The following is a 23165-nucleotide window of genomic DNA, read 5'->3' as shown; positions in this document are numbered from 1 at the left end:
TCCTGAGCCCTTTCCTTCCTGTTAATGCCCCCTGGCACTACCTGTGGGCGAGGAAGGAGACAGACACCCTCGGAGAAGCCCCAGGCTCCAGTGCTTCTGCCCGGGGACGCTGAGAGCAGACAGAGGCTGAGCCCATGTGTCCCTGCTCCTGCATGCCCTGACGCTTTCCCTGAGCCACTCCACGCAGGGGACCAGCCGGCGGCCACTAGCAAGGGCTTCAGTGGCACAACTCAGCTTCCTCAGAACACATCTCAGAAGCAGGAAAAGCAAACTCTTCCCTCATCTCCCCGCCCCAACAGATCCTCTGAGAGCCCCAGGTCCCCACCAGCCGGACAGGGAGCACGTATCCCACACCCTCCCTTCATCCAGCAGAGTCAGTGCAGACGTGGCCAGGGCTGCGGCAAAGACGTGGATCGCAACACACACGCACACCTGGACACACACACGTGCTTGGACACACCCCTTCACACACCCACGCTTGACAGAGCACGGGCTGGAGCTGCACAGTGTGCTGGGAAGCCTGTTATCCTGAGAGGAGCGCGGGGCTGGTGGGTTCCCTCACAGCAGGCTCAGAAAGCCGCTTTGCCAAGCAGGGCCTCGAGGTGGGCAGAGCAGAGGCTGCTCCTGGTTCTGCACATTTGAAGTGGGCACCCCACGCGTGGGGGGCTTGGCTCACTCTTGGTCAAGCCTAGTGCGTGACTCCTCCTCCCCCAGGAGGATGGTGGGCAGCAGCTGCTGAGGTTCTGCCGCCCTGGCCTCTGGGGTCCCCTCTGGCCCGAGGTGGATCGCAGATGAGCCTGTCGCCGCACCCACTGCTCCGCCTGACGAGTGGGGTTCAGGCCAGAATGAAAAAGGGACCCCTCCTCACCGGGTTCGTTTCAACACAGGCTCCACGGCCTCCACTCTGAGAGGTGCGTGTGCAGGTTCGGAAACGGCACCGCCATCAGCGCGGAAAACGCGCATGGGACGGCACAGAGCCTTATTCAGAGGAGATGAAATAGTCACTAGGACCCAGCCATGTTTTAAAATGATTATAAATTATTTTAACAGTGCATTTGCAAAGGGTTATAAAAACAGCCATAATATATTTTTTTCCTTAGATTCTAGAATTACCAGTGTGACAGCTAATGCAATAATGATTTGTTTCAAATGCCAGTGTTTAAGCTGTATAAAGCTGATTTTATACATTTTTCCAGTAGGCCGCATTGTAGTTAATGAAATTAAACACACCAATCGCATTTGTCCCCAGGGGACGAGGAACTGAACACACCACTGGTTTATTTTTTTATTAAAATAAATTGCAGCCGGCAAGATGGACTAATTGCATACAGAATTGAAAAAGAAACATTCCATTGATATAATTAAGCCAATTTTCATGGACAGAAATAGTTATAGTGGATATAAAATAAGCAAAACCTTCACCAGAATCTGACTTCCCTCCTTTTCTGCCCAAAATGTTAACTATTAAACAAATATGATCTTGGAGCGGCCAGCACTCCTATCTTCAGGCCTCGGGGCATTGTTCCCGCGTCTCAGGCTAGGCCGGCCAGGCGGGCCAGCCCAGGCACCTCCAGACCGTGGAGGATTTGATGGCAAAAGCCCAAGAGTGAAGTGGTCAGACCAGGGAGAGGCCACTCCTCCCCTGCTCTGGGCCCACCAAAGCTTGGGAGCACTCCTGGCCCAGGATGACCACCGTGGCCCTGGCTGCAGCCTAGGAGACACCCAGACTTCAGGAGCCGTGGCCCACGCCAGGCTGGACCAGGGATGTCAGCAGCCGGCCCCTTCCACCCTGCAGCTCAGACCAACAGGGCAGCAGCAGCTCCACCTCCCCCTGACTGCTGGGCGGTGGGTGGAGGCGGTGGGTGGTGGTTATTCCCCTCCAGATCTGAGGGGTGGCAAAGGGCAGGTCCTACACCTCCCGGGCCAACCTGAGCCTCCTGCATTTGCTCCGGATGAAGGCAGTGAGCGAGGGAGTGTGGAGGGTGCAGGCCAGGCCACCCGACCAAGGTTTCTGCTCCTCTGTGCCTGCCCTTGGGGACAGAACACCCACAGAAGGGGCAGGAGCTGTGGGGGACGGAGCCCAGCGGGAGTCCAGCCTGCAGGTGTGAGGTCACTTACACGCTGGACGCACGTGATGTCCTGCCTGCTTTTTAAGAACAGACCTGCTACAAGTTGAGCATTGGCCTTGAGAAAATGCTTAAACCCTGACACGCACACACACACGCGCACACACACACACACACAGAAAAAACCCTATGGAATTAACGGCAGCCTGTGGTGCTCTGTGGGGGAGGGGAATGCTACATAAGAAGCCCTGGAGGTCTTCATTCCACTGAATTTCACTGGAGCCTCAATCTGCTGTGTGCCCTCCCAAGAGTTCCTCCACCTCTCTGCGTCTGGGGTTTCTCACTCTCAAAAGTGGTGCCTGCTCGCCTGCACTCTGTCTTCCCAGGGTCAGTGAAGGGAGGAGGTGTCCTGTCCCCCAAGTGCACTAGGGAGCCCGGCCCGTCTCCCGAGGTTGCCGGCAGGGGCCGGGGCTGCGGATCAGACTGGGCAGGCGGGTCTACCCTGGAAAGCCAGACCCCCACCCTCTGCCTCCGTTTCTCTGCACCGTCTTCCCTCCCCCTACAGCCCCTACTTAAACCCAGGCGGCGCGCGCTCCCGCGTCTCTCGGGGCGCGGGTCGGGATGTCGCAGGGAACCCAGGCAAGCGGGGGGCCTGGCGCCCACGGTGTCCCGCACGAGGTCGAGGGTCGGCGGTTGGGGACGCGGAGGCCGCCCTCCTCCGCAAGGGAGGCCAGGAGGAGGGGACCCCGGGGTCCAAGCTGGGGCTCTAGAAGGGGAGAGCGCCGCTCCCGCTGGGCCAGGGTCGGGGCGCCAGGCTGCGCGGTGTGGACGCGGGCGCTGCTCCGCGGTAGTTGGCCGCGACTTTGTGCGCGGGGAGTGGGAAGTCGGCCGAGACTACCGGCCGGCCCGGGGTCCCCCAGGCCCCGCTCCCCGACCCGGCCCACGCCGTCTGCAGCCCTCGGTGGCTCGATTCTGAGCCCGCGGCCGCCGCTGCACCGCGGCGAGGCCCCAGCCAGCTGGCTTCGCTCGCGAAGTTTCCTTCCCGCACGGGGAAGTCGCCGGAGCTGCTCCTGGTCCTCCCGCGCCGGCGACGGGAGCTGCAGCTTCCAAGACTCGTTACACGGGTTTGATTCAAAACCTGATAAATTGTATTTAACGCTATTTGAAAATTTTAAACGAAATTATTCAAAAGATTTTTAATCCCGGATAATTTTTGTTGAAACTCTAATTATACATCACCTTAATTACCAGCCCAAGCCCCCCAAGGATCCCTAATTGCCTCCTAATTGAATAAAACAGGGGGCTAATCGGGCCCACAGCGGCCCAGCGAGCTGCCACCAGCCTCACCTCCCCTGAGGGGCCCGGTGGGGGGAGCCCCTGGCTGCTGGGTCCCCTTCACCCAGCCTCCCGGCAGAAATGGCAGACCTGGTCCCCTGCCCTGCGCACTGCCTACAGGAGGACTTGGGAGCCGAGGAAGCCTCGGGGCCAGGAGGGGCCAGGATGTCGGGCTGGCACCTGCTCTGGAAGAGCCGCTCACAGGACAAGGAGGACCCCCCGAGTGGGCGTCTGGTGGTTGGCGAGCCAGGCATGGCCGGTGCCTGTCCCCAAGGAGCCCACCCAGCAGTTGCTCCACAAGCCAGCTTGGCAAGCCCCTCCTGCCAGCTTCCGAGCCATGGCACACCTGCGCAGCCAGGGGCTGAGGGAGGGGGCCTGTGGGTGACACACAGTCCACTGCCGTGGGGCACCAAGCCCTGGCGGCCAGCCCCGCACTCCACCCCTCCACCGCAGCCTCTGTGTTTTCGTCCGAAGCGGGGCAAGACGCTGGATTCCCGCCGGACGTCCTGGCGCTGCTGCCCTAACCGGCCTTCAGAGGGAAGGCTGCCGTCCTGGCTCTGGGGAGGGGACTGGTGGACGGGGCCAACTGCCCCAGGGAGGGTGGGAGAAGGGAGGGCCCAGCCAGCCTGGCCTGTTTCTACGAAGAAGGAAGGAGGCTGTGAACTGGGCCGCCAGCCCCGCTTACCTCTACCCTGTCTCCAGCACACCTTCCACACGCATCACCCTCAAACACGAGCAAGACACACACAGTCCCCATCTAGTGGGGGCTGCAGCTCCCCCACCCCAGGGGCTAGATGGGACTTGTGGAGAGGACACTCCCCCAGCCCTGGGGTATGTGGCATCTAGGACATGGGGTCTGCCACCTAGGTGGGGATCAGGCCTCAAGGAGCAGCTCTGATGGGGGTGCCGACTGGCACATCCTCCTCCTGCACAGAGGCCCCCAGCTGTGCTATGAGGGCGATGGTGATCCAGAGAGCACCTTGGTGGTGCTAACCCCCCACCTGCCCACCTGGCTCACAACAGCCCTGGAAACAATAAGCTTTTGTTAAGCATTGAGTTTGTAAATGTGGGGCTGCAGCAGCCCCTACCCCACCGGCCCTACCGCCCTGGCTTCAGTAGGGGGGACCCTGTCCCTGAACTGTCCTCACTCTGTTCCTGGCCCCCAGGCTCAGGTGGAGGAGGCTGTAGGTTTCCCATCAGCTGAGCCACAGCCCCGGCTTGGGTGCCCCAGTGGCCACCTCTGTCCTTGGAAAGCTCAGCTGGAAGCCCGGGTCACCCCCGGAGCCGCCACCATTTGGCCCTTCACAAGACCCAATCCAGAGGACTAACCCACCTGAACTGAGGCTTGGAGTGGGGTCTCCAGGGAAACACAAACGAAATTACACCTCCAGATGCACACTCGGCGGTGGCCCCCGAAATGCTGGGTCATGGGGTCACCTCCACTGGCCTGGTTGCTGTTCTGTGCCCAGCCTGAATACCAACCTGGTAACCATGACCTTGCCCCTGCCCAACCCCACAGTCCCCTGACCTGGTCAGCATTGTGGGGAGGGGAGGACCTGCTGGCTGGAGTGCTGGCCCTACCGCCTCTGACTCGGGTAATGGACTATGGTCCCCGGGGAAGTTCACATCTGCTTAAAATATCGCCTGATGAAATGAAATTCTTCAGCGGATCCTGCCTTCTTGCTCAGGGCAGGCAGTGTGATCCTGAACCTGCCTCAGCCACCTTGGGGGGCCTGGGACAAGCGGTCCCAGCTGTGGAGCCTGGAAGGAGGGGTTCCCAGCGCTCGGCCAAGTGTGGACAGAGGGCCGAGGCCTGGCAGTCACCTCTCATGGGGTTTTTCCTCACTAAAGACTCTCGGGAAAAGGAAGCCAGCGCTCGGCGCTCCCGCTGGGCCCGGCTCTCCGGCCTCCTGGCCAGATGGCTGCCAGGCACCACTTCTGGTCCTGAGCGGACCCGGTCCCGGGCCACCTTCCCCACCTGGCAGAGGTGGAGCCGGCGGAGAGCTGGGGCCTCTCGGAAGTTTCCAGGGCCGCGCGGGTGCGCCGAGTCCGCCTCTCGCTTGCAGCGAAGGCCCCGGCGTCAGCGCGGCCGGTTTCCCCTTTCTCGTTCCAGCTTAGGGCCCATCCTGGGCGAGGGCCTGACCTGGCGGCCCACACGCAGCCCGGTGGTCCCGACTCTGAGCAGGCCCGCGGTGCACACACAGAACCGAACCCGAACACGCACACGCACACCCCACGCGCGGAGGGCCCGCAACGCCGCGCACAGACAGCCCCTTCGCGTCGGCGGCGAAACGCCCGGTCTTGTTCGCACCAAGAGGGGTCAGAGGTCACGGGAGGCCGAGGCCGAGGGCACCCGGCAGCGGAGCGCGGCGGGAAGGGGGCGCCTCACCCAGGGGCCGGGAACGGCCGATGGCGGGGCGCAGGAGCGTCCGGCACAAACTCGGGAGCTGCTTTTCCCTGGTGCACAGAGCGCGGGGCCTACGGCCGCGGGGCAGCTGTTGGGACGAGCCGGGCGGGCCCCGAGCCGAGGGAGCGGAGCTTCGGAAAACCGCCGCGAGTCCCGCGCGCACCCGGCTCACGTTTGGGGGCTCGGCCCCGGGAGCTGCGAGGCCGGCCTGGAGGGACCCGGCCCCGGAGGCGCGGACGGAACGGCGTGGGTCGGGCGGGGACCTCGAGGGGAGCGGCCCGGGCGCCTCTTCTGCGGGTGGGCGGGCGGGCGGCCTGCAGAGGAGGGGGCGGCGGGAGCAGGCGGCGCCGATTCCGCTCCGCGCGGCGCTGGCCGCTTCGCTGCAGCCGGGGCTTCGGCGGGGCTGCGGGAGCCGCGCTGGCCGGGCCGCGGCTCCGCCTGTCCTCACCTGCCCGCCCGCCTCACCGCGGATGGCGCCGGCGACCGGGGCTGCGGGGTGCGCGCGGGCTGCTCGGAGGCGCTGTGGCGGGCGAGGGCGCGGGTGGCTGGAGCACCCGGCCCGCGGCAAGGACCGGCTGGCGGCAGGCGGGGCGCGCGGAGCCCGGGGCTCGGCCGAGACGGAGCGAAAGAGAAAGTAAGACCGAGGACCGGGCAGCCTGGCCGGGGCAGCTCTGTCCCCGCCGGGCCCGGCTGTGCCAGGCAAGCGGGTACAGAGGGGTCCACGCGGGCCCGAGGGCGGCAGCGGCGGGTCGGGAGGTGGCCGGGTGGGTCCCTCCTGTCGGAGGCACTGTCGCCCCGGCGGCCCGCGCAGGCTGCCGGCGTCCCAGAGGAGCGCCCTCCACCACGCGGGGCACAGCCGGGGATAAACTTCACGACCACAGTTCCCAGCCCGGGCAAAAGTCTCCATTTTGCTCCCCAAGTGGCTGCGGCTGTCCCGCCGTCGCCACCCCTGCCCCTGCGCCCGCGGAGCCGGGTGGGCGCCGGCCCGCGCCCCCTCCTCCGCCCCTCCCCGGCTCGGGGTCTCCCTCCTCTGCGCCCGGCTGGCGGACGCCAAAGGCGGTGCTCTAGCGCCCACTATTTCAAAAGCCCGGAATATGATTTGACCAGGACTGAGAGCCACTCGGAGAGAGAGAGGGAGAGAGCGAGCGGGGAGGAAAAAGTTGCTCTCCCCTTTCGTCAACTTTTCGCTAACTTTCACTTTTCGCTCCCCTCCACCCCCGGCCCTCCCCCTCCGCCCCCCTCCCCGGCCCCCACCGCGCGCCTCGGGTTCCCGGGCCCGAGCGCCTGACACTGGTGGGGGGGGAGGGGGTTCCGCGGGGAGGGGGCCGGCGCCTTCGGGGAGCGCGCGGCCCGGGCGCCCCGAGCCTCCGCGCCGAGCCCGGTCGCCCCGGAGCGCGGGAGGCGGAGCAGCCCCCCGGGCCGCGCGGCCGAGCCGGGGGCCCGGAGCCGCAGGCGCGCCGGCCGCGCCCCGACGCGCACCCCTGGCCCGGGCGCCCCGGCCCGGCGGCCCGGGCCCCGGCGGCGCGGCGCGGCCGAGCGCGGGAGACTTACTTTTGGCTAGCTTCCTCGCCCTCGCCTTGGATCGCATGGTGTCGGCTCGCGGAATCTCTCTCCTCCTCCTTGAGTCCAGAAGCAGCCACACACTATCTTCATCTCCCCAGCATTGTCAGTTTGGACACCTTCGCACATGCGCACAGAGCACTCAATCTGACACCCCTCGCCGGGGCCAAAAAAACTTTGCAATGTATTCATCATCCTCATCGTCGCGCCGCCGCCGCCGCCGCCGCCGCCTCGGCGCGGGATTGGGGGGCTCTCCTCGGCCTTCTCGGTCTTCGTCTCACTTATCTCTCCCCCCTCTCCCCCCCCCCCTTTTCAGCGCAGCTCGGAACTGGCCCTTTAAGAAAACATTCCGTGTTCGGCGCTCCCGCCCGGGGCCCGCACCCCGGACACTTTAAAAGGACCCAGGTGGCCCCGGAGGCGAGGTGACTATCCCCCCACCCTGCCCCTGCGTCGCGGCGCGTCGCGCTGCTGCTCCCGCCCCAGCCGGGGCCGAAGATGGGGCGGCGGCTGCGGTTTTCCACACGACTTCCTTGGATCTCGGGGCACACGCGCCGATAGTTCGGACGCGAGTCCGGGCTGGTTTTGCTCCGTTTTACTGCGTTTGATTACTAATTTAAAAGCTTTGCGTTCCCCGTCGCCCCGGCCCGCTTTTCTCCTGCATTCTCCCCTCGGCCCCCGTCCCCGCCCTGCGATCGCTGGAGGGGGCGTCGGGGCTCGCGCGCCAGAACCCGGCTCCTCCGAAGCCCCCTCCGGGCCCCACCGCCCCCCTCGCGCCTCCCGGCCCCCGCCTCCTCCCCTTCGCCCCCACCCAACGGCTGCTGCTTCGGGCTTCGCGGCTCAAAAACAACAGCGGAGGCGCCGCCAGCTCCGCGCTCCGCCACTGCCCAGGCCGGCGGGCGGCACTCGGACCCGCCGCCCTCGGTCCCTCGCGAGGCCACGGAGGCCAACACGCCTCGCACGGGGGGACAGCGCGGGGGCAGCCGTCCAAACACCAGGCGTCCTCGGCTGGTCGTCCCAGGGCGCCCGCACCTCTCCGCCCGCGCTCTCCTGCCGCCGCGCCCCCAAGGTGAGTACCCGGCTGCGCGAGCGCCCGAGCTGGGCCACCTTCGGGGACCCGGGCCACTGGGGACACTCCCCTCTGGCCTCTCGGGGCCCAGGTGCGTAGCGGGCGGAAAGGCCAGCGGCGCAGGTGGAGCAGCTCGGACGGGAGCCGACCAGACGCTTCCTCTTCCCCTGTAGCCCCCAAACTCCGAGGCGCTGCGGCGGAGGGGCCGGGCTGAGCGCAGGCAGGGTGGCCCGGGCCCAGGAGCCTGACGGCCTGAGTGCGGATTTCTCATCTGAGTATCTGGGAATCGAGAATGAATTGGAAGGAAACCGAGGCGCTGCCCTGGCCAGGTTGCTGCCCCGCACCCTTCCGGAGCACCGAAGTCCTGCCCGGCAACGGGACTTGGAGCTGCCGCAGAGTCAGCCTGAGCCCGAGGCAGGGGTCGCGCCCGCGATGCGGGGTCTCTGCGCCGCCCCGCGAGGCTCCTGGCCTTGCCCTCCCTGCCCTTTGTTGTGTAATAAGACCTGTGGCGGCTCCACTGAGACCCACACGTGCAACTCCGCGCCTCCGCGTTAAAGGAGGTGAAACGCAGCAGCCCTGAGAAACCCCGAGACCCCGGTGTCCTAGCAGAGGCGCCCCGGATGGGGAGGGGCGCGGGGCCGGCGCCACCCCAGAGGAAAAGCCCAGCGGAGCCGGGTTGGGCAGGAGCTGGCGGCGGCGGTGCGCTGGGCCTTCTGCCTTGGATCCTCCGCGGTCGGCACCGCTTCCCTGCTCAGATTCGAACCCAGATTCGGCTCCCAAGGCTCCCACGGCTCCAGGGTGCCCAGTCTTGCAGCCAGCTCGCCGCCCGAGCCCCGGATGGAGGAAGCGCTCACTGGCCGCTACCTCTGCTGTTTCTGGCACCAGGTGAGTGTCGCCTAGAGAAGGGCCATGAGCAATGGCACAGCCCCATTCCCTGCCGTCCTTTCGAGGGTCTATCGACCCCTTTACCCACCCTCCCCACACCCTGACCATCTTTCTACAGGGGTTGGGGCAGAGAACAGCTCAGTTTACAGGCCCGGCTCTGGAGGTCTTGATCTGCCTAGCCAACTAGGGCACCGCTGCAGCTTTGCACCGCCAAGGCCGGTTCTGAACCTGCTCGCCCCAGTGGGTGGGAGGTGCTGGAGCCCAGGAACACGGGCGCTGTCTTGCCTAAACCCCGCCAAGGGCAGGTTCCCAACGGTGGGCCCAACCTGGCTGGAGCTGCTGGCTAGAAAGGACTCAAGGTCACTCCCATATCTCTGCACCCAGGTCCCCCTTGCTCCTGCCTGAAGCCTCTGCAGGTTTGGGAGGAGGCCTGGGGAAGTTACTATGGTGCCTGCGAACCACTCCCACCTGCAGAGAGGGTCCCTTCCCCACCCTCACCCTGCAGCCCAGCAGAGGCCTCCTTTGCCCCTGGCCTGGAGGTAGCCAACAGATGCCAAGGTTGTGCAGTCCTGGCCTTCTTCTACGGGTGCCCCAACTCTCTCAGGCCCTCTCCCTGCCTCCTCCTCCAGCTCAGGAGGTGGTTCTCAGAACCCTGGCCAGGCTAGGACAGGACAGCCATCCCTGGCCTGTTGCCAGCCCCTAGGGAAGAAGGGCAGGAGGTATGGGAGCAAGCTGGTCTGTGCCATCTGGTCCTTGCCCTCCACCAGGCTGTTGGGTAGGGATGGGGTCATGGATCTGCCTGGGAAGGGGTAGCTGCCGGTCAAGCCTCGCCAGGGAGACAGCCGGGCTGCCTACCTGCAAGGCACTGACGCAGCCCTGGCTCCAGTGGGGCAGTGTCTCCCGAGCCTGCTCGAGGAGCCCAGGCAGGCTGTCCCCAAGGCCATGGCCCTGGCCGAGGTTGCATCCTGGCCTGGCCAGGCCCTGCCCCCGCGTGGCCAGACTTAGAAGCGGAGAGCAGGTCAGGCATTGAGGAGTCCCGTGGGGAAAAAGGGTGAAGCAGGGAAGATCAGATGCAAGTCCTCCCTGGGGCCCAGTTCTGTGTCCCTGCCTGGCAAGGGCTTTGGGGGGCTTGGAGAACAGGTAGGGCAAATGTAGGCCCAGTGGGGAAAAGGTTGATACTAAAAGGTCTAAGGGCAATTTTCAAACCAAGTCTAGCTCTGCAGAGCCTTGAGGCTGATGCCAGGCCCTGGGGCCCCTGCGCTGGGATTGTAAGTGCTGTAAGCTCATTCCTACTGACCTCCTTGGGTCGTCCAAGGACAGTGAGTGTGGGTTGGCCACATAGAGGCTCCTACACTGGACAACTGCACGCTGCTGTCGAGTTCCAAAACCAATTTCATAGCTGGGGTCTTGGAGGCTAGAGCGGGGCTTTAACCACCAACTTCTGCTGGGGTCTGGGCAGAGAGGGAGTCCATGGAAACTCGATTTCTCCATGAGCCCTGCAGACTCCCAGTGTTTCTAACGGCTGGAGACCCATGACCAGGTTAATTCCTTAGGGAAAAGGCCGGGTTTGAGAGCCAGAAATGCTGGTCCTGCCGTGCTGGAGGAAGCATCTTATTAGCGAGTAGGAGGCCCCCAAGCCCCAGGGGTTCCCCAGAAGCCCATTGAGTAGCAGAACTACCATGCCGGCCTGCCCTCCACTCCCGGAATCTACAAATGCATTCAAGGGCTAGAGGGCCCCTTCGCTTGGCCAGGCCTTGTGCCCCATGCCAACTGGCAGGGTCAGAGCAGCCCCAGCTGCCCCTACCCCCAGCCCCTCAGGCCCCAGGGAGCCCTGCTTCGGGCCGTGTGTGCAGGACAGGAGGTAGGCATGGCACCTGGCAAGATGGACTCACCTCACCAGGTTCTTTCTCTCCCACTTTCTCTCCCCTCACCTCACCCCTTTCTCTCCCACTCCTCTGTGCTTTTTGAACTTAGCCATGGGTTTTCAGATACTTGGCCTCAGGCTCTATTGAATTCCAGGTCAAGGTTTTACTGACTCCACACCCCCACCTTGTTCCTCCGGGTAGCAAAGAAGCACACAGCCTCTGGTTTACCAACGGGCTTTCCTGGGAGATTGGAAATGCCCCAGGTGGGATCCAGATCGCCAGCGCTCACCCCACCCCCAATACGTGGGCCACTGAGTCAGGCCAGGATGAGGCTCTTGCTCCCCGGGCATGTTCTCCTGCCCCAGACTTGAGCAGCAGGAGCCAGGAGACCACAGGGGCCCTTGGGGATGGCTGACTTGGCTCCCACTAGACAGAGGGGAACATGGAGGAGGGCTGCTTGGACCCTATACCTCGCAGGGGACTCGATGGGGGCTGAATGCTGGAAGGAGCCTGCGTTTGGTCTAGAATGGTGGGGGTGGGTGGGAGACACAAGTCATGGAAAAGGCCATTTCTTCCCTATTGAGACCTCTGAAATGACCCGAAGTGGGTGCTTCCTCCAGCATCATGCCTCAGCCGCACACTGGGGCTACAGGAATCCCCCCAGACCCTGGGGTCAATATTTCGGGGCCCCTTTGAACCTTCTTCTCACCCGAGGCCTGGGAAACCTTCTTGTGCCCCAGAATACTTGGAGAGGACAGGACACAGGTCCCAGTTGTGGCCCAGTGGTGGCAAGGTTCCATTCCCTGCACTGCTCAAAGGTGGGGGCCTCCCAAAGCCGATACCCGATTCCTGGTCCCAGAGTGGGTAGCTGGGAGGAGTGGACTTCCTAGGAATGTGAGCCATGTCGCTGATTTCGAACAAACCCCAGATGTGTGGAAACTGACTTATTTTGATTGCAAGAGGGTCCTTGTCCCTTGCAGATGGGCAGCTTCCGGGGACCGGCTTGCACGATGCCGTGGCCACCCCAGTGGAGACCCTCTGCCCGGCTTTGTGTCCTGGCGTCCCCACCAGGGTGCCCAGCTCTCCTGCGCAGATGTCGGGAGTATCTGGATGCCCCATGGGCACTTCGAGGGCCCAATCCGGAGTTTTTTGTTTTGTTTTGTTTTAAGAGATTGAGACTGTGAACCTGAACTCCCTTGATCTCCTCCCGTTGGGCCCAGGAGGGAGCCGAATCCAGGCCCAACCGGGCTCACTGAGAAGGTGCAGGAAGCCCCCAACGACTCCTACTCGTGTGCGGCCCATACTGGGCCAGGACGCTGCAGTGGCCGAGCCGCTGGGTGTCTGCAACGGGGAGCTCCCCCGCCGCTGGGGGCAATAAACGGAATCGGTTTCACACGCTTTCCCTCTTGATCTAAGAACCTTTAAAAATCCGCCAACGAATGCTGTTGCCTGGATGCGCTGCCTATGACCTTCAGCCGTGTGTTCACGCGCGCCCGCAGCCGTGGAGTGGCGGTCCCTCCTGCCGCCCGCAACCCCGGGGCCGCCGGTCTGCGCACACCGGGAGCAACTTCGTTACCCACAGCGCCCGCGTCCTGCGGCTCGCGCGGAACTGCGCGCGGGAAGGTGGCAGAGCGACGCTCCAGAACGCTGCTTGCGTAGACGCTGCCGCTGCCTTCAGATCCCAATTCGGCCGCGCGCGGGCGGGGCCCTGGCAGCAACGAAAATGGCGAGCCTCGTAGCCTTCCGGGCCCGGCGGCCACATTCCGGGAGTCGCCAGGTGGGAGCCCGCCTTCCGTGTCCCCAAACGCCCAGAGCCCGGGACACGGGCCGGCGGCCGGGTCACCAAGCCAGTTCCCGGAATCGGCTCGCGCCGGAATCCAGACTCGGCTTGCAAAGCCCGCTCCTGCCGTCTCTCCGCAGCGCGCCCTGCCCCCCACTGCCGGCCCTCTTAGCTTCAAAACCAAATTTTGCCTTTCATCCTGAGAGATTAATACCCCGCAGGTGAAACCGTGGAGACGGAGCTGCGGTGGGTTTCTTTTCCACGCCTCAGTTTCCTCGTCTGTGAAATGGGACCAGGCGCGCCTGTGCTTCTCCGGGAGTTTATTGCAGGGCTGGCTGGAGAGAATGGCTGGGTGGAAGCTGCCAGGAGGAGGCCCAAGGCCGCCCACCCCGTGGGCCTCGTTTGCTGAGCGGGGGTCAGAGGCGTGCGGGACAGGGCGCGCCCCACGGCGGCTCTGGAGGCGGCCCGGCCCGTCCCTGTCTCCTCCCCTCGCTCCCCCTCCCCCGGCCTTCCCGGAACTCTCCTCGCCCGCTGGGTGGAGGAGGGGCGAGGGCCGACTCCGCCGCCCCTGGGGTCTCCCTCCTCCCACCCCCACCGCAGAGTCTGGCCCGCCCTGGGCTTTCCTCTCAGGTCCCTTTGGGTCTCCAGAAGCCCGGAGGTTTCGCGCAGACTCGAACCTGAGATGACACCACCCAGCACCCCAAATCCTGCAGAGTGTGGAGGGGATCTGGGGAGAAGGCAGGGGCTGCCCGGGCGCTCTGGCTGCTGGGGGTGGGGGACAGGGCCTGCCGGGGAAGCGGGTCGGGGGAGGACTGGAGACCCAGGCTCCCCTAGGTACAACGAACCTCGCGGGAGGGAATACGCCATCCCCGTACCCACTTCCGAGGACGTAGGTCTTTTGGCACCGGCGGCAGCCGCGTTCCCACACATCTGGGCGGGGCCCCGCAGCATGGCCTGGGGAGCTGAGGCTTCGGGATCCGGCACAAACTACCATTCTAGGTGTAGACGGAGGAGGTGGGGTGTGGGAAGCAGGGGGCCATGGTCTGAGCAGACCTTCTCACCTCTGGGCCTCCCACCTCCTGGGGCAGGACTTACGGGGAAGGACCCGAGGGGAGTGGGGTGTCCATAGGGACACCCAAGGGTCTATCCCTGCGAGCTTTGCTTTCTACTAAACCAATAATCGCAGTGGTGGTGGCAGTCGAGACACGGCTCAAAGAGCCGGCAAGAATAGAGCAGAGACCAGGATCGCCCCAGGCAGGGAAAAAATGACCAGTTCTGTAGAGTGACCCGAAGGTGATGGAATCACTCGGGCGTCCTCCTGGGAAAGAGCTGCCTGCTCCCCCGCCGCCGCCAGTACACCGGCGCCCATGCCCCGGGGGCTGGAGAGAGCAGCCAGGCACAGGTAACTCAAGAACTCCAGTCCCCTCACGGGTGCCGTGCTGTGGGGCGCCCTCACCCCCACACTTTGGGTCCCTGGGCCTCCTCATCAAAGCAGGGGCCTGAGTGGCAGGAACACCCCTGTGTGCAGAATAGTGCCCCCTGCAGCCCCCACAGGTCACCTCTTTGAGGACCTAGGTGGGGCCTGCCCTGGGGACTGGGGTGAAGAGGGCAGGTCCAGCCTTCAGCAGCCCCTCCCCCATGACTTCAGTGGAATTACAAGGGGAACACCCAGGGCAGCTCCCGTAGGCTGCACAAGGGAAGAGGGGAGGGCTTCTACTGAGGTGAAACAGTGACCCACCCCTCCCACACCGTCAGCCTCCCTCCCCTCTCCACCCTTCAGTGCTGGGACCCCAGGGCCCATAGACAGCTGGGGGAGTGGGGAGACAGGAGGAACTCAAGCTCAGCTTCTGCCTCCTGTCTCCTGGGACCCTCGGGCAGCCCCTCCAGCTTCCTGGGAGTCCAATTTCCCAAGGTAGAACGGTGGCGGCAGAGCCTGGCCCTGTGGTGGGGCAGCTGCACCCCGATGAGTGGCTTGCAGTTCCTGGAGCCCTGCAGGTTGTTGGAGAGGCAGGGAGCCCTTCTCCCTCCTGCCTGCCCTCTTGCACTTCCTCTCCCAGAACCCAGCACTACTCCCAGAGGCTCTGAGCTGGAGCCCTAGAAGGTAACCACCTCCTGGCTGGACACAGGGCAAGTTGGGGCCAGGCGTGAGGACAGGTGCCCCAGGAGCCACCTGCTCCACTCATCCACAAAGGCCTTAACTGGCTCAGGGGCCCCTAGCTCCCAGTCAAGCCCTGCCCTCCTGACCTTGTCCTGCCCTGGTGCTGCCAGTCGGGTGGAGATGTCTAGGGGCCAGCTGGTCTCCTGGCAACTGAAGTCCGCGCTTCCCTTCCGTTCACTCATTCCTTCCTTTCCTCATGCAGGAGGCGCTGCAAGGCTCCGTGCTCCTGGAGCTTCGAGTCTATGGTATGAGTTAAACAGAAGGGTATCTCCTCCATCAGATCTACAGGAGGGTGTCTGCTCCATCAGACCTGGAGCTTCCAAGGCATTTTACCCGAAGCTCCAGCACCTGGCCCAAGGCTGGGCTGTGCTGTGTCCTCAGTGAAAGAATGGATGAGTCACAGCTGAATGACTGAAGAGCTGAACCAGTAGGTTTCCCTGGGGTTTCCACAGGCAGTTTCAGCCCAGGGGAAGACCCAGGGAGATGAGGGCCACCTTGCAGGACGCTGTGGTGTGGAGGCAGCAGCCTGGGGCAGGGACTGTGCTGAGTGTCTGAGGCCGAGCCACCCCTCTGTAACCTCTATAATCCATCAGGTCTCAGAGGGCCGTCCTATGTTCAGTAAGCCAATGCTAGCACCATGTGACGAGGACACAGCAGTGAGCAGCTGCCCAGGCCCCTTGCACTGTGTTTGGAAAAGGAAGCTGGCTTGTTCAGGGGTCCCCAGCAGGATGGGGGGCGGGGGCAGGGACCATGGCAGAGCGAGAGTTCTAGGAGAGAAGCTGGTCCACCCACAGGCTCCCTGGCCTGGGTGCTGTACCAGGCAGGGTGCTGGGCATTGTGCTGCTCACTTCCCACCCCTGGGTTGCAACTGGGGGCTGTGTGGCCTTCCCAGTCCTGTTGTGGGTGCTGTGATTGTGCCCACCTTACAGATGGGAAAACTGATGCTCAGAGGCTTGAGCAACCTAGGCCAGGACCTGTCCTTAGAGGCAGAAGCAGGACTCAGAGGAAGAGCACCCTGACCACAAAGCCCCAGGTGACTTACACTGCAGGGATGGCGCTCTCCGGGGTGTGCAGGGTGGCAGAGGTGCCTCTGCAGAGAGATCCCTGCCTGGGACCCTTTCCTGGGGCTCTTCTGGTGCTGGGAGTGTGAGCACCACGAAAGCCCCACTACAGTCATGCCACCCAGAGGGCGCTCTGGCCTCTTGGTCACCCGTGTCCTTCTGGCAATGACCAATACACTTTTTTGCCAGGGTCCAGAAAGACTCAGCCACTGGAGTCTGTATTTCCTGAGTCGCCTCTCACTGGTAAGTCCTGAGCCCCGTTCCTTCCCAGCACCCACTCTTGGAGCAGCTCTCCAGGGCTGTGCTGTGGCTGCTGCGGTCAGGGAGAGGTCGCATGCTCCAGCCAGGGTCTTTGGGGACTCAGTTTAGAACTAATACGCCAAGCAAGTCGTGCTGAGTGTCTGGGCTTCTTCTAGGAAGGTATTTCCAATCATCAAATGTGCCATTAAAAAAAATGCATGTCAGTTAAGTGTGCACTAAGCCTGGACCACATGGGACATAGTGGTTCCAATAAACACGAATAAGCCAGTTTTCACATTAGAGAAATACCAGTTTCTTGCAGAAATGCGGTGCTTTTAAAAGAGGTTAATTAATAAACAGCAGGTAATTGTTCGTGGCACGTTGTGGCAGAGGGTAATTTTCATTTTAGAGGATGGAAGGGCCAAATACCCCTCCCCACTCAGCATTTTTCTGTAATAATCACCTCAGCTTCACCTCCGCCTTTCATTTTTACAGCTGGAGCTGTTTATCATCGCTCCAACTTTCACTAAAAAGGAAAAACTATCACTTAAACAAAGCCATTGAAACCCCAGCATCATGTGTGGATTTTTTAACATAAATAAATCATACAAACTAAGATTTATGTTCTTGGAATGATGTCATTCATTGAAGGCTGCCTTCCCAATCAAAGCCGTGTTTAGTGATTTTTCTTTAGTGGGTGTGCTTTTTGCTAAATAGGAAAAACCCGTTCGGTCATCCTTGCTGCTGTCTTTTCTCGGTTTGGCCCAGAACATCAGAAAGGTTTCTCCCTGGGCCAGTCCACAGAGCCAAATGGTGAAAATGGTTTTAACTCCACAGACTGCTTTTAAAGCCTTTGCTTTGGAACCGTTAAGTCTGAGATCAAAAGACTGTTAAACCTTCCCTAAGAATGTGTGCAGGCCTCAGCAGAAGTTTATGGTCCTCCCAGGTCTCCCAGAGCCTAGAATGAATCTCGCTGCAGAGTAACGCATCTGCAGAAGCTTCACCAAATTGAAATGAGTGAGGAGCATTAAAATCAGCACACGTGGATAAATAACAGGTGGCATATCCATGCAATGGAATACTATGTCGCCATGAAAAGGAATGAAGAGCTGACGCTTGTTACAGCATGAATGAACCTGGAAAACATGACGCTCCGTGAAAGAAGTCAGTCATAAAAGGTCACGCTTTGTGTGATTCCATTTATACGAGATGTCCAGGATGGGCCAATCCATAGAGACTGAAGACATATTAGTGGTTGCCTGGCTGTAGAAGTAGAGGCAGTAGTACTCTGGGCCAATGAAGGCCCTGGGAACAGATGGGCCACACCAGAGTCCAGCTTCAGCCCTCCAGGCATTGAAAGGAGACCATTAGCTGGAAGCCAGTGGGAAGTCGGGCTGACTAATAGGGACAGGTGTCCAGGAGGCTGCAGTGTGAGGCTTTCATTTGTTCAAGCAACACACATTCACTGCACTCTTACCGTGTGCCAGGGACAGCCATAGGCCCTGAGACTACAGCAGTGATGGAGACAGACGCTGCTCCCATCAAGGTCATGTTTTGATGGGGAAAGCAGCAATAAGCCAAATACATATGGGTCTGGGGTGCCAGGCTAGACGATTCTAGTGCAATGGACATGAAAGAGGAGAGAGGTGAAGGCACAGTCTTCAATCGGTTGTTCAAGAAAGGCCTCACTGAAGTGGTGACATTTGGGCAGAGACGTCAGGGAGGGATGAGGGAGCCACCCAAGTGTCTGGGAGAACAGCACTGGGGCAGATGGAACAGCCAGTGCAAAGGCCCTGAGGCTCCAGTGACCAGTGTGGCTGCTGCAGAAGGACGGGGAGGGGAGGAGGGGAAAACCGTGTAGAGTGGCAGTGGGAGGACAGATTAAGGCTGCAGGTGGAATTAAAGTTGCTCTTTCAGCTGACTTTAAAGTAGGGAGACGATTCCAGATTATCTGGGTGGCCTTAATGTCATCACGAGGATCCTTAAAAGTGGAAGAGGGAGGCAGGAGAGTCAGGATTAGGATGAAGTGGAGATATGTGAGAATATGAGGAAGATTCCCCTGGCTGTGCTGGCTCTGAAGACAGAGGAAGGGCCCACGAACCAAGTTACGTGAATACGGACAGACTCTAGAAGCTAAAAAAGGCAAGGAAATGGATTCTAGAGCCTCCAGCAAGGAAGGCAGCCCTATGCATGCCTTGACTTTAGGACACTGAGATCCATTTCGGACTTCTGACCCACAAAACCAAAATCTAGTAAGTGTGTGCTATTTGAAGCTGCTAAATTTGTAGTAATTTGTTACAGCAGCCACCAGAAATTAATATGGGGAGGAAATAGGGATTTCATCTGTCCATAGTAAAGACATGCCGGGGGTGATAAGAATCTGAGCCCATCTCACCTAGATGAGAACGAGAGAGTAATGACCACAGAATAGTGGTGATGGCCATCCTCACATCTGGCTCCTTAGCCACCCATGCCAGTATGGACTGACTGCCTTCTACGTCTTGTCCATGGCCATTCTCTAGGGAAATTCCCTTGCATCTCCTGCTACCTTTACAGACTACATATTTTGTTGGATTACTTTCTCATTTTCATGAAGCATATCTTCTAGTAACTTCTGATAAAAGATGCATAGGAGATAAATATTTTAGGACTTCCACAGTACCAGAATGATGGATGAACTGGGTATAGAATTCCAGATTGGAGATGATTTTTTTGTTCAGAATTTTAGAGAATATTGCCCCATTGTCTTCTTGCTACCAGGCAGCTATTGAGAAGTCTAGGAAGATTCTGTTTCCTCGGACTTTGTGTGCAGTGTGATTTTTCCTTTTTGGAATTTTATAGAATCTTCTTTGTCCCAAGTGGTCCCATATTCCACAATGATGTGCCCTAGAATGTGTCTGTTTTTATCCACTGTGAGTTCTTTCCAACTGAGAACTTGTGTCCATTAGCTCTGGGAAATTTTCTTGAAATACTTTCTTAGTGATTTCTACTCTCTGTTTTGTTTCTTCTTCATTTTTGAAACTTGATATTTATATGAGCTTTCTTCTGCACATATAATCTGTGTGTCCACCAAATGGCTTTGCTCTGTTTGTTTCAATCTGTCTTTCCTGAGGCATCTGCTGATTCTTGGCTTTCTGCCCATGATGAGGAGCTGACTGGAAGTTCTGACAGTAAGAGAGGAGGGGTTCATTGCCCTTGAGACCCATGAATGGGAGTGATCCTTGATCCTTGGATGTCAGTATCTTTAGGAACTGACCTGATTCCCAGAGAAGTTACCCAGGGAGCAAGGGAGGGTCTGGCTGCCAGTCTTCTTGGAGTCAACTTGGAGTTGAAGGCAGGGGTCTTTGCAGTCAGCTGCCTGAATTCTGGGAAATAAACCTCTGGACTTTTGCTGGTGTGGGGGAGGGGTGGTCGCTCAGGGAGGATAAGGAGGGGATAGGAATCCCCCTTTACTAAGCCATCCTGATCGTAGCCGCTCTTGCACCCCAAGTCCTAGAGGTACCCTTTTTTTTTGACGGAGTTTCACTCTTATTGCCCAGGCTGGAGTGCAATGGTGCGATCTTGACTCACTGCAGCCTCTGCCTCCTGGGTTCAAAAATTCTTCTGCCTCAGCCTCTAGAGTAGATGCGATTACGGGTGCCCACCACCAGGCCTGGCTAATTTTTTTTGTATTTTTAGTAGAGACAGGGTTTCACCATGTTGGTCAGGCTGGTCTTGAACTCCTGACCTCAGGTGATCCGCCCACCTTGGCCTCCCAAAATGCTGGGATTATAGGCGTGAGCCACCACGCCTGGCCCCTAGAGGTAATCTTATACTCAGTCTTGAGTGTTAGGATTCCCCTTGGTTATAAATCTGGTAAAATCTCACCTTCCTGCTCTCTATTCAGGATTTTCTCTTGTCTCTGATCCAATTGCCACAGGTCCATCAGCAATTCAGCTTTCAGAAGGGAGGCCCACCCTTATGGGTAGATGCCTTTTGAAATCTCTTTATTGTGGTTGAAGTGGGGCTTACAGAGGGGACGCTATTGAATGGGTGTGTGTTTAGTTTGCCATCTTAACCCGAGGCTTTTGTGGCTATTTTAGAAAGACTGTGTCCATTCTTAGGTCTAGGCCCGATACCACACACAGTGTCCACACACAGGGGCTCTGACCCCACAGGGTTCTTTGGGTCCTGATCAATGATCTTTCAAGAGCCTCCCCCTTGACCTGCTTCTGGCCACAGAAACAGCTGATAAATGAAATTTGTTAGTTTCCTACAATGGAGTGTTGCATCAGCAGTGAACATAGTGACAAGAGTGCATGCTTATCACCACGCTGACATGTCCCTGAGACATGGGGGCGACCTTTAAGAATGTCAGCTGAAATATTAACAGCGGTTTTCCCTGGGTGATTAGATCTGATAATATTAAAACTTTTTTCTCTGTTATGTTTCTCTGCATTTAATTTTTCTCCACTGACTGTATATTAGTGGTGGAAGTGTTACAATGTTTAAAAATAAGAACATCAAAAAATTAGCCCAGGGTGGTGGTGGCATGTTCCTGTGGTCCCAGCTACTCAGGAGGCTGAGGCAGGAGGATCTCCTGAGCGCAGGAGGTAGAGGTTGCAGTGAGCCAAGATCTCACCACTGCACCCCAGCCTGGGTGACAGAGTGAGATCCTGTCTCAAAAAATAAAAATAAAAATGAGAAGAAAATCCTATCTGTCCTTCAATAACCAGCTCAGCCACTGCTACCTCCCGGGAGTCTCCCGTATTCCCACTGTTGGGAATGCTTCCTGCACCACATTAAATAAACTGCATTTTCTAAATATCAATTTGATTTCTGAGTTTGTCTCTCTTCTCCTGGGGTGTGGACAGCTGGAGATGTGGTCTGAGCACATCGCATGTTTGGACGGGAGAAGCACGGGTGTCTGGCCCCAGGCTCCCAGCCCCGAGGCGTGGGCGGGTGGGTGGGTATGCAGGCTCTGGAGTGTCCCTGGATCCATCATGCCCTCGCTCTGGGCTGGAGCTGGTCACAGCTGTTTTGGCCTCAGCCTCCCCCTCTGTAGATGTGACTAGTGTGAGGGAGAGGGTCATTGACTGCATGTAGGGCTGAGGACCATGCTCCGTGCAGAGTGCAGAGCCCAACTGCTGCCAGACTGGGTCTTTGTAAATGAAATCAAATACAAGCCACATACAATTTCACGTCCTGAAACCATTTTTAAGTGTAGAGTTCAGTGGCATTGGGTACATTCACAAAGTTGTGCAGCCGTCATCATCCTCATTTCCAGTCGCTCCCCATAGCCCCTCCCCAGCCCCTGGCACCCCCCTTTCTGCTTTCAGTCTCTATGGACGTAGCCACTCCAGGGACTTCGTAGAAGTGTAGTCACACAGGATTTGTCCTTTTGTGACCGGCTGATCTCACTTGGCTCATGTCCTCAAGGTTCAGCCGTGTTGTCACACATGTCAGAGTTTCCCGCCTTTTAAAGACTGAGTCATCCTGCGTCGCATGGCTGGCCCATGTCTCCCTTGTCTGTTCCTCCGTGGACAGTCCCAGCTGCTTCTGCCTCTGCCACGCTCTCTCCAGCAGTGCCCTCGCTCTGAGCCTTGCTTCTGTGCTGCCTGTGACTCATCTGCCCAGGGGCTACGGGCCTCTTTGGGGGTTCAGGACACCCTCTTTGACCTGTCTTCTCTGTCCCCTCCTGCTGCGGGGCTCCCGGCGGGGCTGTGTGGGGTCTGATCTGATTTCTTCCCTGTTCCCCAGCAGATGTGCACTGGGTGCCTTCTTCGAAGATCCACGTGAGTCAGTAATGGACAATGTTGCCTTTTTGTTAGATTTTACTCACTTTTCATTTGAGGCTTAAGCCCCAAGGGATTTCCAGGGCTGCAGCAATTCCTGGGTCACTGTCCCCACCTTGTCCCTGATTGGATGAGGAAGCAGGGGGTGGGGTGAGAACTTCACCAGCGGGATTGGGGGCTCTTTGCTGAGTACTTGAGGACAGTGACTGGCCTCCACTCACACCCCTAAAATTGGGTATGTCCCCTGAGAGAGCCAGGGACATGGCTCCTGCAGATCCTGGGGAGACACGCTGAGGGGCAGCAACCTAGCCCCCAGCCCCACTCGCTCCTGACCCTCAGCCTCCAGGCAGCCTCAAGGGGAGGATGGCTACACCCCGGACCCCAGAGCTCCCAAGAAAGAACGGATCCTTGAAAATATCCGCAAAACAAGGCCTTTTCTGAAAACAAATGGTGGCAGTGTTTGGAAATGAGAGGATGGCTGGAGGAGTTTCTGCCCCCTTGTTAGGGAGATCTAGCCATCTGACATTTGTGGTGCAGGAATTATATGCACAGAGCCACAGGGCCACTCGCACACGCTATGCCATAAAGAGGGATTTCGTACACCGGGCTGGAGGGCACTGGATGAGGGGCTCTTGTGTGTGGAAGCCGCCCAGGCTTGAGGGGCATTGCTTAGCCACTGGGAGTCTGAGGCTGGGGTGGGCTCTGCACAAACCCACTCAGAGAGGGCTATCCCTCTTGCTGCCCAGGGGAGCCCCTCTGCACATGGACAAGGAGAGTGCAGCCCCTCAGGTACTGCAGGGGGCAGTTTCCTAGAGCTGAAAGGCCATTGATATGCTTTGGATCTGTGTCCCACCAAAATCTCATATTGAAATGTAATCTCCAGTGCTGGAGGTGGGGCCTGGCGGGAGGTGACTGGATCACAGGGATGGCTTCTCATGGTGGGAGGTGATTGAATCGTGGGAGCAGTT

General features: G+C 59.7%; 2 protein-coding genes, 1 long non-coding RNA gene and 1 pseudogene across 37 annotated transcripts in view, besides 3 other annotated features; 2 read left to right on the top strand and 2 right to left on the bottom strand.

Annotated features, from left to right (window-relative positions):
- Window positions 1-7453, bottom strand: part of PRDM16 (PR/SET domain 16) — a 369419-nt gene extending 361966 nt beyond the window's left edge. For both annotated transcript variants that reach the window (NM_022114.4, NM_199454.3), the window contains exon 1: window positions 7360-7453. In NM_022114.4, the coding sequence (NP_071397.3) occupies window positions 7360-7396 (37 nt within the window). In that variant the 5' untranslated portion in view covers window positions 7397-7453. The remainder of the gene's footprint in view (window positions 1-7359) is intronic.
- On the top strand, window positions 1094-21233 carry LOC124903827 (translation initiation factor IF-2). Of its 33 annotated transcripts, none has more exons than XM_047436584.1 (9): window positions 1094-6442; window positions 7685-8434; window positions 8608-9319; window positions 12354-12444; window positions 12601-14366; window positions 14843-15065; window positions 15325-15549; window positions 16373-16426; window positions 16919-17039. In XM_047436584.1, the coding sequence occupies exons 1-2, from the start codon at window positions 4793-4795 to the stop codon at window positions 7706-7708; spliced, it is 1674 nt and encodes a 557-aa protein (XP_047292540.1). In that variant the 5' UTR covers window positions 1094-4792; the 3' UTR covers window positions 7709-8434; window positions 8608-9319; window positions 12354-12444; window positions 12601-14366; window positions 14843-15065; window positions 15325-15549; window positions 16373-16426; window positions 16919-17039. The 33 variants fall into 33 exon arrangements, with proteins under 33 accessions (XP_047292540.1, XP_047292495.1, XP_047292508.1 ...); XM_047436539.1 differs by adding an exon at window positions 16052-16155 and having other exon boundaries at window positions 12354-14366; XM_047436552.1 differs by adding an exon at window positions 16052-16155 and having other exon boundaries at window positions 12601-15549.
- Window positions 3129-3977: an enhancer, noted in NCBI's record as "H3K27ac-H3K4me1 hESC enhancer chr1:2989243-2990091 (GRCh37/hg19 assembly coordinates)". NCBI's record gives its function as "activates a minimal SCP1, AML or CMV promoter by ChIP-STARR-seq in naive H9 embryonic stem cells {active_cell/tissue: H9 hESC(naive)}" and the evidence as "EXISTENCE:reporter gene assay evidence [ECO:0000049][PMID:30033119]".
- LOC100420339 (opioid growth factor receptor pseudogene) lies at window positions 5959-6998 on the bottom strand (annotated as a pseudogene).
- Window positions 8560-9134: an enhancer, noted in NCBI's record as "H3K27ac-H3K4me1 hESC enhancer chr1:2984086-2984660 (GRCh37/hg19 assembly coordinates)". NCBI's record gives its function as "activates a minimal SCP1, AML or CMV promoter by ChIP-STARR-seq in primed H9 embryonic stem cells {active_cell/tissue: H9 hESC(primed)}" and the evidence as "EXISTENCE:reporter gene assay evidence [ECO:0000049][PMID:30033119]".
- Window positions 8931-17039, top strand: PRDM16-DT (PRDM16 divergent transcript). Of its 2 annotated transcripts, NR_015440.1 has the most exons (6): window positions 8931-9319; window positions 12354-12444; window positions 12601-15549; window positions 16052-16155; window positions 16373-16426; window positions 16919-17039. It is a non-coding gene; the product is annotated as a PRDM16 divergent transcript (long non-coding RNA). The 2 variants fall into 2 exon arrangements; NR_024371.1 differs by lacking the exons at window positions 12601-15549; window positions 16052-16155; window positions 16373-16426; window positions 16919-17039 and having other exon boundaries at window positions 12354-12584.
- Window positions 15803-16348: an enhancer, noted in NCBI's record as "H3K4me1 hESC enhancer chr1:2976872-2977417 (GRCh37/hg19 assembly coordinates)". NCBI's record gives its function as "activates a minimal SCP1, AML or CMV promoter by ChIP-STARR-seq in naive H9 embryonic stem cells {active_cell/tissue: H9 hESC(naive)}" and the evidence as "EXISTENCE:reporter gene assay evidence [ECO:0000049][PMID:30033119]".
- Window positions 21234-23165: the final 1932 nt, after the last annotated feature.

This window comes from Homo sapiens, chromosome 1 (assembly GCF_000001405.40).
Source record: "Homo sapiens chromosome 1, GRCh38.p14 Primary Assembly".
Taxonomy (NCBI): domain Eukaryota; kingdom Metazoa; phylum Chordata; class Mammalia; order Primates; family Hominidae; genus Homo; species Homo sapiens.
This window is presented reverse-complemented; position numbering and strand designations above follow the sequence as displayed.